General features: G+C 36.1%; 1 protein-coding gene across 4 annotated transcripts in view; it reads right to left on the bottom strand.

Moving 5' to 3' along the window:
* GPC5 (glypican 5) overlaps nucleotides 1-13,446 on the bottom strand; it is a 1,468,617-nt gene that overhangs the window by 946,297 nt on the left and 508,874 nt on the right. For 3 of the 4 annotated variants that reach the window (NM_004466.6, XM_017020435.3, XM_011521054.4), the window contains exon 6: nucleotides 12,884-13,004. In NM_004466.6, coding sequence (NP_004457.1) covers nucleotides 12,884-13,004 — 121 coding nt within the window. Of the gene's footprint in view, nucleotides 1-12,883; nucleotides 13,005-13,446 lie in introns of those variants that run through there. The other variant, XM_017020437.2, reaches the window with a different exon arrangement.

The raw sequence follows: 13,446 nt of genomic DNA, 5'->3' as shown, positions 1-13,446 counted from the left end.
AAAAAAAAAAAAAAGAGAGAGAGAGAGAGAGAGATTTAAAAAAAGGATAAAGTGGTACAAGTTGCATATCCTCCCCTGAAATCTATTGAATCTACCCTAACACTTGATTGCTGATAATTTAACTGAGTACATGCTTTCAGATCAGAAATCAGTTGTCTCATAATTTGAAGGCATTTTTTATGCATTGTCTTCTAGTATTCCTGCTGAGATACAGCTACAAATCTGATGCCTGTTTTTTTATGCAATCAATTTTGGGTTTCTTGGTTTATTTCTCTGGAAGATTTTAGTAACTTTTGTTCATCACCAATATTCAGAAATTTCACAATGATTACTTTGTGTGTGTATGTTTATGCATGTCTGTGTGTGTGTAGGCACGTGTGTTTTCATTCATTGTGATGGTCACTGTGGATTCAGTAGGGAGTCATGACTCTTCATTTCTGAAAATGATTGACATTACTTACTTGATAAATTCATTCTCTTTATTAGTTTAGTTCTGTTCTCCAACATTCTTATTATTTGGATCCCCTAAAATGAAATTCAAATGTCTCATCATTTTACTTCCTATTACTTTCTCTTTTTGTGTGTTGCGATTGTTTAATATGTCTTTGATTTTACCTTCCAATGCTTCTATTGAATTTTTAATTTTTAATATATTTATTTTCTGAAGTTCTTTTTTATTTTCTTATTGATTCTTTGGAAGCAATTTATTTTCTTAAGAATGCAATCTGTTTTCTCATTTTTTGGAGGATATTCATATAGGTTTGGGGTATTTCCTTCTGTACTGTCTGTTTTCTGTATTTGCTCATTTCTTTCTTTTTTCCCTTTGCATTTACATTTTTCATATTGTCCTTTAATGTGCAGTGATCATTGATTGTCCATTGATACTGTGCATTAGAGGCTATCTGGAAATTGTTGTATGTAGATAGGGTATAGTAAAGGATTTCACCATAGATGGGGAGTTACCTTCCCACTGGGTAGAGATCCAGTCAGTACATGGAATTATTGTGTCTAGAATTGATCAGTTGCTTCAAAGAAGAGTCATTTAATTTTCTGCATGGACTGTGTGTACTGGCATGCCAGCATTCCGAAAATAGGCAGGCCGGTATGTGAACTGTCATTTAGTTTATCTATTTCCTTCTCTAGGACTCATTCTGCCCTCTATTCTGGCTGGAATTTTGAATGAGGAGCCTTCCTGGTACATTTTTTTTTTCCCCAGAAAGACTGCAAGGGAGAAAGTGGAGGAGAGTTATCTGGGATGCAATGTTGGCCCGAGAAGTTAAGCAATACACGCCTGTCTTTCGCATATTTCCATGTATCCTAGGTGTTGCCAGATGAATTGTCTCACTTATTATAAGTAAACTTCTGTGAATATAATTGAATTGTAACATGTGGCCAAATTTTCACATTTAACCAAAAGCCCAAAAGACTATATTTTATCACAGCAGCATAGTGATTAACTAAATGGTTTTAAATGGGTATTGACATGATCAGTCCATCAACAGTCTGCTAATTTTCTATTGGATTCTGCTGCAAATGATAACTAGTGACTTTACTTTGGCAATAGTATTTGACAGCAATGTGTGGTTCAACAACTGTAAGAGAGGAAATGGAGAAGGCACATAAAGAAAACTTTCTTGGGGCATTTTCTGGATGAGTGATTGTAAAATTGGTTTGGAAACTATTGTTCTAATCCAGATAGGAATTGGTAGTAGTCTCAAATAGCACAGTGGCAATAGAGAAAAGGAAGTGGACAGGATAAACAGGAGACAAAATTGAGACTGTAGTAATGGATTAGTAGTAAGTAAAAAAGAAGAATTAAAGATGACACCCAAGAAATAGGCTTAAGCATGTGGAAAGAACAGAAGGAGGAGCAAATTAGGGGAAGGGAGAAGTAATTAGGATGGAATTCTGTTCTGGCCATGTTGATTTTGACATTTCAGTTTGCTAACCCAATACAATGGTAGACTGAAGTATCTGAGACTCAGAAGAAACATCTTGGAAGAAGATAATTAGGCAGCTACCGTGAAGCCATGAGAGAGGGAAATGCAGAGAAGGAGGGAAGATGAGAAGATAAAAGGGACTGCGTGGGAACCCAGAAAAAACATAGCATTTAAAGGAAATAAAGAGATACATGAAGATCCTGGAATGAAAGAAATCAAAGATATTGGTGAGAAATCAAGAAAGTGAGAGCAAAGAGAAAGAGGTAAGCAACATGGATAAGTGCTGTTAAACAAGCCAGTGAGATAAGAACTGAAAAAAAGGCTATTGGTTTCTGAAAAGAAAAAAGAAAATCAGTGAGCTTAGCAAAAGTATTTCAGGGGAATGACGGAGGCAGCAATCAGACAGAAGTGTGTTGGGAAATTACTAGTGGGTGAGGAATTAAAAAGAGCAAAACTGATAAACTTGCAGACATTGGGATATCAAAAAAAGATAATTATCTAGCACAATAAATATTTGCAAAACCCTCAGAATCAGAGTTGTGTTACATTGACATAAACCATTATTAGTTTACTGATTAATAGTTTATGTCAGTATTAAGGAGATGTTCCATATACAAATGAAAACTGATGTTCTCATAAAATAGTAAAATATATGATATGGCTTGGCTGTGTCCTCACCCAAAATCTCATCTTGAATTATAATCTCTATAATACCCACATGTCAAGGGAAGGACCAGGAAGAAGTAATTGAATCATGGGGGTGGTTTCCCTTATGCTGTTCTTGTGATAGTGAGTGAGTCTCATGGGTCTGATGGCATTAAAAGTGTCTGACATTTCCCCTGTTTACACTCATTCTCTCTCCTGCCATCCTGTGAAGAGGTGCCTTCTGTCATAATTGTAAGTTTCCTGAGGCCTCCCCAGCAATGCAAAACTGTGAGTCAATTAAACATCTTTTCTTTATAAATTACCCAGTCTCAGGAATTTCTTCATAGCAGCATGAGAACAGACTAATACAGTAAAATTGGTACCAAGGTAGTGAGGCGCTGCTGTAAAGATATACCCGAAAATGTGGAAGTGACTTTGGAACTGGGAAACAGAGGTTGACACAGTTTGGAGGGCTCAGAAGAAGACAGATGATGTGGGAATTTTGGAACTTCCTAGAGACTTGTTGAATGGTTTTGACCAAAATACTGATAGTGATATGGACAATGAAGTCCAACCTGAGGTGGTCTCATGTGGAGATGAGGAACTTGTTGGGAACTGGAGTAAAGGTGATTCTTTCTATGCTTTATCAAAGAAAGAATTTTGCCCCTGCCCTAGAGATCTGTGGAACATTGAACTTGAGAGAGATGATTTAGGGTATTGGGCAGAATAAATTGCTAATTGGCAAAGCATTCAAGAGGAAGCAGAGCAGAAAAGTGCAGAAGGGAAATGTGGGGTTGAACCCCCAAACAGAATCTCCTCTGGGGCACTGACTAGTGGAGCTGTGAGAAGACAGCCATTGTCCTCCAGCCTCCAGAATGGTAGATCCACCAACAGCTTGGACCCTACTGCTGAAGAAGGTGAAGGCACTCAATGCCAGCCCACGAAAGCAGCTGGGAAGGGGGTGGGGGGCCTGCACCTTGCAAAGCCACAGGGGTGGACTTGTCCAAGGCCATGGGAGCCCACCTCTTGCATCAGTGTGACCTGGATGTGAGACATAGTGCCAAAGGAGATCATTGGGAACTTTAAGGTTTAATAACTGCCCTATTGGATTTCAGACTTGCATGGGACCTGTAGCTTCTTAGTTTTGGCCAATTTATCCCATTTGGAATGGGTGTGTTTACCCAATGCCTGTACCCCCATTGTATCTAGGAAGTAACTACTTGCTTTTGATTTTACAGGCTCATACGTGGAAGGGACTTGCCTTGTCTTAAATGAGACTTTGGACTTGGACTTTTGGGTTAATGCTAGAATTAGTTAAAATTTTGGGGAACTATTGGAAAGGCATGATTGTGTTTTGAAATGTGAGGACTTGAGATTTGGAAGAAGCCAGGGGCAGAATCATATGGTTTGGCTGTGTCTCCACCCAAAATCTCATCTTGAATTATAATTCCCATAACCCCCTTATGTCAAGGGTGGGACCAGGTGGAAGTAATTGAATCAAGGGGGTGGTTTCTGATGCTGTTTTCATGGTAGTGAGTGAGTCTCACAGATTTGATGGTTTTATAAGTGTCTGGCATTTCCTCTGCTTGCACTCATTCTCTCTCCTGCAGCTCTGTGAAGAGGTGGCTTCTCTCATGATTGTAAGGTTCCTGAGGACCCCCCAGCAATGCACAACTGTGAGTCAATTAAACCTCTTTTCTTTATAAATTACCCAGTCTCAATTATTTCTTCACAGCAGCCTGAGAACAAACCTAATACAACATATTTATCAATATTGTAGTATATCAATAAATGCAGTCATATAATATGCTATCTTTTGGGAGTGGCTTCTTTCAGCTAGTATAACATATTTAAGGTTTGTCCACATTGTAGCATATCCACTGTTTTGATCTTCTTTATTGGCAAATAATATTGCATTATATGGACATATCTCATTTTATTTATATAGTCATCAATTGAGGAACATTTGAGTTGTTTCTTTTTTTGGATAATATGAACAACATTGCTATGAACAATCATGTACAAGTTTTTGTGTAGACACGTATTTCCTTTCTCTTGAGTATATACCTAGATACGGAATTGCTGGGTCATAATGGTTAACATTTTGAGGAACTGTCATTTTTTTTTCCATAGTGGTTGCACACTTTTACATTCCCATCAGCAATGTTTGAGAGTTCCACTTTCTCTGCATCTCTACAACACTTATTACCTGTCATTTTTATTATACACTAAAATTAAATTGACGCTTAAGATATTAAGTAAACTAACTATGGATATACAGTTAGTGCCTATAAAAGCTGGAATTTAGCCACATGCCTTGTGCTAACTCAGAAGTCATGTTCCTTAGCACATTACTATATGGTAGCAAGCATGTTTTATTGAGACTGAAGGAAAGTTATTTTGTTTGGTTTTTTAATTCTTTGAAATTACTGGATGAACACTTATGTCTAGTAATTGTCAAAAATATTATTTTCCTCACTTATCCTAGTTGTTTAAATTAAAATGCTGAACACTTACCTTTTAGATTTTATAATTCTTGACAAGTTAAATTTCAGTGACTTCAATTATTAAAAAGAAATATGAATTAGTGGGAGCTGGTTGTAATTTGGAACCTCTTTTGTGAAAAAAACCATATTTCAAAATATTTCAAGCAGAAATATATAAAAGTTTTAGCCTATAAATTACCAGAATTTGTCCTAGTCACCTAAATAAAAAATATAAAAGTTTTACATTTTAATGGTCTTTCAACATTTTAAGAACAGTAAACCCGGCAGAAAAACAGCTCAAGTCTTAATGGAAATGATAACATGTAAAATCAGCAGCATCCACATAAATGAAAAGTCAAATTTTTATCCAACACAAAACAATTACATACTTTAATCAAACAGAAATTACCAATGGCCAATCCCAATCCCATTACTTTAAAAAAAAAAGTTCTCAAACTTTCCTTTCCAGTTGATTGTACACTGATTGAAATGGTTGTTTTATGCGGACAATTGATTTTTTTAAATGAAATGTCTAATAGTGAAGTCAGTGCATTATACCACCCATTCCAGAAAGCAGCCTTCCATTGAATTTACTCAGACAAACTAATTGCTAAATTAGATGACCATTGAAAGTTATTGAGCGTGCATCCAACACTTTCTCCTGAACCAAAAGATAACTAACTAAATCTGTTTTGATCACTACTGCATTGCTAATTCAAAATCAAGAACTGTTCGTTTCTCTGGAATATTAGTATCATAAGCCTGGGGATGTGACAATGTCATGTAATGGAGTTGTGGGGAAAGGAGTCAGAGTGTTGTGGCAATTCTCCAAAGAAGGGAAAGAGTCTATACAAGTGAAATAAGTTCACAGAATCAGCTGACATGCTACCGTCAAAGAATTTGCAATTAGCAACTGACCAATCAATTATGATTAACTCATTCGGTATGTCTATCATAGGCTATTAACAATAGGAAAGGATGTTTATAAAATTTGTTTTATAGCAAGTGATTTAATGATAAAAGCTTGGACAGTTTTCAGAATTAAAAAATTCAGAGATACTAACATTTTTTAAAACTCCTGTGATTGTGTTGTGTGTGTGTGTGTGTGTAAACACTACCTGTGTAACCATCTATTGAGATTTAAATTAGAACCTTTTCTCAGGGTATCACAGTTCTAAAGTTATATTTATTATATCGGTATCCTAAGAACAGAGTGAAAAAAAGACTAAGAGATAATTTAGCACAGCCTTTTTCTACTAAAATCAGAGTGTCTCTCATCTCTGCCTGAATACTCTCCATTGTTATTATTGGGATACATATTATAGAAAATCTACTTCTTTTGTGGATTTAAGCAATGGTTATGATTATTGCTTTCCTCACATCTAAAAATGAAATTTATATTACACATGAAGACATTTTGAAAAGAAGTTTGGGTCTCTATAAAAATGAATATTTAATAGAAACTTAATACTCTTATGTTATTTGAATTGTTAGGTTTAAGGAAATAAAATGTTTCTTAAATCTACTACTTTTAACAACACTGTAACATTTATTGGCTTTGCAATAAAATAAATCCAGAAAATTGCTGTGATATTACTTTTTCTGTTTCATATTGAAAGTAGGTAAATTAATTTCTAAGCAATGGGGCATTATAATTCTCAACTAACAGTGCTCAGCAGTTAGGATTTTAACTGCTGACATTATTTTCTTTGAAAAATGATAGATGTCATTTAGTGTTTAAAGATAAATTGCTGCAGAACTGTGACTTTTTTGCTGACAACTTTGCCATAAACAAACATAATATGACCAAGAAGTTTCAAAGTAAGTTTGCTAGGTGAGCAAATCTAAATTAAAAAGGCTCTCGCATTTCCTCAATCAGATATACTAAGATCAACCAAGTGTTGTTTTCAATCTATAATATTAAAGGGCAATTGAGTCTGACGCAAACATCTGAAAAAGTTAATGTTAACTCTTAGGAATAAGTGTTCTCCCTTTAGGAAAATCTTCACTGGCCATTGGATATACCACATTTAACATGGATGATTTTCAAAAGGACAAATATTGCCTGTTTCAGAAACAGGCTTTGGAATGCAGGAAAGTGCCAGAAAGCAACTCTGAGAATTTGCACAATGGCTGACCTGGAGAAAGATGTCAGAGTCACAGATGGAAAAGGGAGGTGCATGACTCCCCTCTGTCGCCAAGGTTCCCATTCTCAATTCAGAAGGATTTGCAGAGGGAATGAAGGAACACTGAAGTTTCTGAGATATTCCTTAAGGACCAAGCTATAGCCCACAGGTCTCTATTTACATCAGATCCCAGCTTTTTTTTGAGGGGGTGTGGAGAAGAGGGAATGTGTGCAGAATATAAATATAGGGCTTGTCCTAAATGATGAAATAAAATTAAGATTGTGTATGCTATGACCTCTCTCTAGGAAGTCTCAAAACTCCTTTTCTTTTCCCTTTTTTTTTTTTTTGACAGAGTCTTGCTCTGTCACCCAGACTGGAGTGTAGTGGCACAATCTTGGCTCACTGCAACCTCCATCTCCCGGGTTCAAGCGATTCTTCTGCCTCAGCCTCCCTAGTAGCTGGGAATACAGGTGCACGCCACAATGCCCAGCTAATTTTTGTATTTTTAGTAGGCATGGGGTTTCACTATATTGGCCAGGCTGGTCTCAAACTCCTGACCTCGTGATCCGCCCACCTCGGCCTCTCAAAATGCTGGGATTACAGGTGTGAGCCACCAGGCCCAGCCAAAACTTTTCTTATAAATTGTCTTCTAACTAAAATATTTCTTTTGGCCGTCCTTGGAGTACTCCCAGGTGACACCCAGCTCAGGCTAACATTTGTACAGGACAGTTACCTTGGTCTCTAGAGAGCCCAATGATGTTTTATACCAGTATGTCTCAGGATCACTGCCAAGCTTCCACCCACACATTTAACATGAAGAGAAAGCTGACACTTCTTGTTAGCTTTAATTTTCCTTGAGAAAAACGTGGCAATATGTATCAAAATACAATTGTTAAGGAACATATTGTTAGTTTCAACATGTAGAATGTATTACAAGGAAAAAAAAGATGCCAAAAATATTTTACGTCTACTGATATTCCTATTAGTCTTTATTATCATAAAAAACTGGTCACAACCTAAATATCCAACTTTAGGTGACTGAGTGAAGTAAAACTGTAATCTTTCCATATGATAGGATAATATGCCAGCACCAACAACCAGATAGCAGAATATTTAATGCCACGGAAAAGTATTTGTTTTGTGTGGTCAGGTGAGCAGTTCATGTCACAAAATCAAATGTACCCTATGATCTTATTTTTTTAAGTGAAGTGCTGATGTATTTATATGTATAATTAAGTATAGAAAAAAGCCTAGATGCCTTCTCTTGTCTTTTTCATTGTTTTATAAATGGTATCAATATTTATTTTTCACTTTTTCCATCAGATTTCCTAGAATAATAAAATTCAATTCCTTCTGATGAGCATTCATTATTCTTTGTTGTTGTTGTTGTTGGGAGACAGAGTCTCACTCTGTCTCCTGGAGCTAGAATGCAGTGGCCTGATCTCAGCTCACTGCAGCCTCCGTCTCCTGAGTCATTATTCTTACAGTAAGAAAAAAATTAATGTTACAAAGTATCTTCTCTGTCCTAGATCAACTGTCTAAGTATATACAAGGTGCCCAATACATTTAATAAAATGTTTTATCCATTCATAGGTTTTTGCAATACAATTTTTTGTATGATTCCATTGTCTTACAGTCTCCATTAATAGTTCTGGTGTGAATTTATACTCTAAAGGAAAGGTGACAACTTTATACAATCTCAGGGCTTAGGTACTATCCACACTCTGTGCTTACAAACATACACTTCCAGTTGTGTGGTCTCCCTGAGTTCTGCACATTCCTCTTGGGTATCTAATAAGCATCTCACATTTAACAAAACCACTGATTTTTAATCAATCCCAGGAACCCTCCGCCAGACCTACTCTTCTCTTAGAATTCCTTTTAACACTTAGTGACACTATCATCCCACCAAACCTTGCTATCATCCTTCTTCTATCTCCCAGAGTTCCAATCCATTAACAAATCCCAATAACCCCGCTTCCAACATTTGTCTAAATCTATGCACTTCTCAGCGTATCCACTCTTATTATTCTAGTTCCAGTTATGTGGTCTTCTGTCTGTACCACTTCCTTTTTTCATTCTTGCATGCAGGGTCCATTTTTCATAGTGAAGTCCTCATAAAACATAAATTTTATCAGCTTTCTGCTTGCAGTTTTTATTTATTGATTTATTAAAGTTGTGATTATTTATTTATTTATTTTGAGATGGACTCAAGCTCTGTCACCCAGGCAGGAGTGCAGTGGTGCCATCTTGGCTCACTGAAAGCTCTGACCCTGGGTTCAAGCGATTCTCCTGCCTCAGTCTCCTGAGTAGCTGGGATTACAGGTGTGAGCCACCATGCCCGGCTAATTTTTGTATTTTTAGTAGGGATAGGGTTTCACCATATTGGCCAGGCTGGTCTCAAACTCCTGACTTCAGGTGATCCACCCTCCTCGGCCTCCCAAAGTGCTGAGATTACAGGCATGAGCCACTGCACCCAGCTAGCTTCTGCTTACAGTTTTTAAATGACTTCTTAGCCACTTAGGAGAAAATATAAACTCTTTACCAGAGCCTACTGGACTCCCCAAAACATGAGGTATGTTTATCTCCTCCCTTTAACTCACCCTGTTTTAGCTGCATGGCCTTCTGTTCTCTGAATAAAATAAACTTATTCCTGCCACAAGACCTTTGCGCCTACTTTTCCTTCTGCCCCAGACACAGTTCTCACAGGTTTTCCTGTGACTCCTTTCTTCTCCTTATTCAGAATCAACCCAAACATCTCCCCCTGAGTGGCCTCCACCAGCACATTCTTCTTAAATATCTTTCCCTACCTCATCCTGTTTGGTTTGTTTATAACATGTGTCAGCTACAATACTGGTTTTATTTGTTTATTTACTTTTTTCTTATAACATAAAGCCCATGAGAGCAGGGTTGTGTCTGCTTTATTCACAACTTTAACCTCAGTGCCTGTACAGAACCAGGATCATACTAGAAACTCAATGAGCATGTTTGAGTATTTTGAATGAATTATTAAAACATTAAAAAGTGACATTTTCCAAGTAAAAATCTTTATCTATTTCCTTAGTGACTCTAATTGCAGACAATTCAGGGTAGAAATAAGGTTCAGATCAATGGCAGGCCGAGAAAGGCCTTTTTGGGTGAGTGTATGCAGGCAATTTTTGCTATTATGGCTGACTTACTTCCATATTCTTTAATATAGGTACGTCCCTATGGTGAGAGATGGCATTTTTCATAGCACAAAGGTGGAAAGTAAATTTAATATCTACTATAATAAAAAATAAAGTAAATTTTATACAAACACTAAGAAGTGATCATCTAAATCTATAGACTAGGATCTGAAACCTATTCCTATGTCGACGTCTTCCATGGCCCTACTCCTAAATTAATAAATTCTCACTTACGGAAGGCTATTTTCTGAATCCTTTCATAGCTGACATTGTGGAGGTGCTGTTAGCCATCCCTTGATATTGACAGTACAATAGCCATCCCTGCCAGGGCACGTGTACATTATCAGTAGTCAAAAGTTTGGCAAAGTAAAACATTTCTCTTCATCTCCAGGAGAGCAGTTTATGAAAGAGCATATTCTTAGGCATTAAAGGTGAATGTTTCAGTGACACCTGTGCAAGACATAACTTTCTGCTCTCCTCTATAAAAATCTAAATTTTGATCATATAATTCTAGTAGACCTTAAAAGGATAGACCTCAAAGGTAGCATTGTATTTGATATTCTCTTGCAACCCCAGAATGAAACTTAAGCATGAATAATTGGCCATCTTCACATTCCTAGAAAGATTAAAGAATGGGACTCGAGTTCACACAGAAGCTAAAAAAGAAAGGTAGGATGACTTCCCTCTGCCCCCTTGAAAAGGCTATGGCTTTGAAACCTACAAAACCAGAACTGGCAGAGGAGGGGGGTGGTGTTTTGCTGAATGGGCAATAAATATGTGAACCCTCCTCCTAAGGGTTTCTATAATCCTTTTTATATTGGGTATCTATGTGTTCTTCTCTGTAAATGTGTTTTTTTTATAACTGTGCACTTCTTATGGAACAGCACCATCTTTATTATCTGTAATAGGGTTTCCGTTCTGCTTTCATCCTGTGCATATCTTATAAAAACAATCTGAATAAATGCCCAGTTAATATGTATATTTATGTATTTATAAATTATATGTATGTGCTATTGCACTAATATATTACATATTTTATATACCTTACTACAACCAAAGTAATATAAAAGAATGAGACTGAATAAATATACACTTAAGGTCTGTTTTTTCTTCCTGCACCCTCTGTGAAATGCTTATCCCACTTAAGAAACCACTAAGATTTCACCGTGTCCTCACAGTGAGATTGTACTCACTCCTCAATGAGAGGAGCTGATTAATATTAAAGCTCTTTTGGTTTTATTATCAATTATGCACTCAAATTTTCAAATAATCTAGATGTACATATTATACTATAGTGGACGATACTGTGAGGTACCAACTGGACCAGCTCAGCAGAGGCTGGGAGGTTTAACTCATCGGTAGTCATGATACCACTTTTCTCTTAGACTTTTCCAATAGAATTTATTTTGGGTTTTGCCAGCCAGGGCGAGAGATCTGTTTTCTACAGGTATCAATGGTAGAATAAGCATTGTTGCCTCGCAGAAGGGAGAAATCTATGGTATTGGACACCAACCCCCATGTCCTTCTTACATATCCTTTCCTTGAGATATAGGGACTCTTGTGAAAATGGGAACCTAAGAACTGGCTCTGCATAAACTTAAGCTTTGTCTTTGCAGAACAATTATGAGAAGTCTACTACTGACTCTTGAATATGTTGTATGCAATAAAAACTCTGTACTATTCAGGTATTGTTTCTGACTCATGATACTAGAAATAAATATCAACTACCCATACAAAGTTTTGCTTAGGAAAAATGAAAGTATGTTCAAATATAAATTTTTGAAAAATGACTAATAACTAAAAAAAAAATAGCCTTTCTTACCCCAAACATCAATAGATGCAGAATGGAGGGTAATATTTACAACATGCAACATAATGTTTGGTTCTAATTAATAGACTATTTCAGTGAAATATTACTTTGATAAATATGCTCATGCTTCATTTGCCATGTATTAAAAACAGCAATACACACTACTTGATGAAAAACATTATTGAAGATAAAACAGAAATATTTCATAAACAACCATTAGCTAGATTATAAGATAACATATAAAAGGTGTTATAGGAAATAAATATTATAAATACATATTATTCATCTATGACCTAACTTATATTGAAATGCTGCAAAACCTTCACAGTAACATTCAGAGAATTACCTGAAAGATAACTCTGGCAACTTCTATGGTCTTATATGTGTTTTCTTTAATGGTCACAGTGATTCCCATGTTCAAACTTATTCACTGAAGACAAAGCATATCCTGAGATTCTCATTATGAAATGCTGAGGCTGAGGCTTGCTTTTCACAGATACAGATTGTCCAGTATTAAAATATCACTGCATATTGACTGCATCCAAAAATCATGAAACTAAATATTTCCAAATGTCCTGATACAAAAAGTGTGTTACAATATTTTAGGTAGGATTATCTGACAGGATTAACAAATTTATCAAATATAACAGAAAGTAACCACTTATTATTTATGACTGAGTATACTAATAAATATAGGATCAGGACTTACCTGAACAACATGCTTCAGTTTATCAATAATCTGATTTATCACAGGATCAATTCCTTTGACTTTGACTTCAGGATTTCCAGACTGGGCTTTGATTCCATTTCCAACCACACGCTGAGTATAACTAGCAAGGGAAATGTGAAAGATATGACTTAGTACCTGATCAGGGTATTATCTGTCACAGCTATCTGAACATATTTGAGGTCGGAATTTCCTCCTTTAGAGAATACACCAATGTATTTTTCTCTTGGAACAGAAACTGGCACAGCTGTAATGTTTTTCCAGGAAAAATGCTAAAATGCTTATCGTGCCATTAGATCAATCTAAAAATAATGTTATTCACTCAATGGACCCAACCAGAAATTACTTGTTTTTTGATACTACTTAACAATATGCTACAAAGAGTTAATATATATCTCACTTTGTTACCAGGTCTTGCTGAATTATACATATGTCCACACTCATATTGTCTGAGTCAGCTTATTTTATGCAGTCCTTATCTTATTTTTTAAGTATTAGGCTACTACATATATACTATATATATATATATATATATAAAGAGAGAG

This window comes from Homo sapiens, chromosome 13 (assembly GCF_000001405.40).
Source record: "Homo sapiens chromosome 13, GRCh38.p14 Primary Assembly".
Classification (NCBI taxonomy): Eukaryota; Metazoa; Chordata; class Mammalia; order Primates; family Hominidae; genus Homo; species Homo sapiens.
The sequence above is the reverse complement of the archived record's forward strand: the minus strand, read 5'-3'. Positions and strand labels throughout refer to the sequence as shown.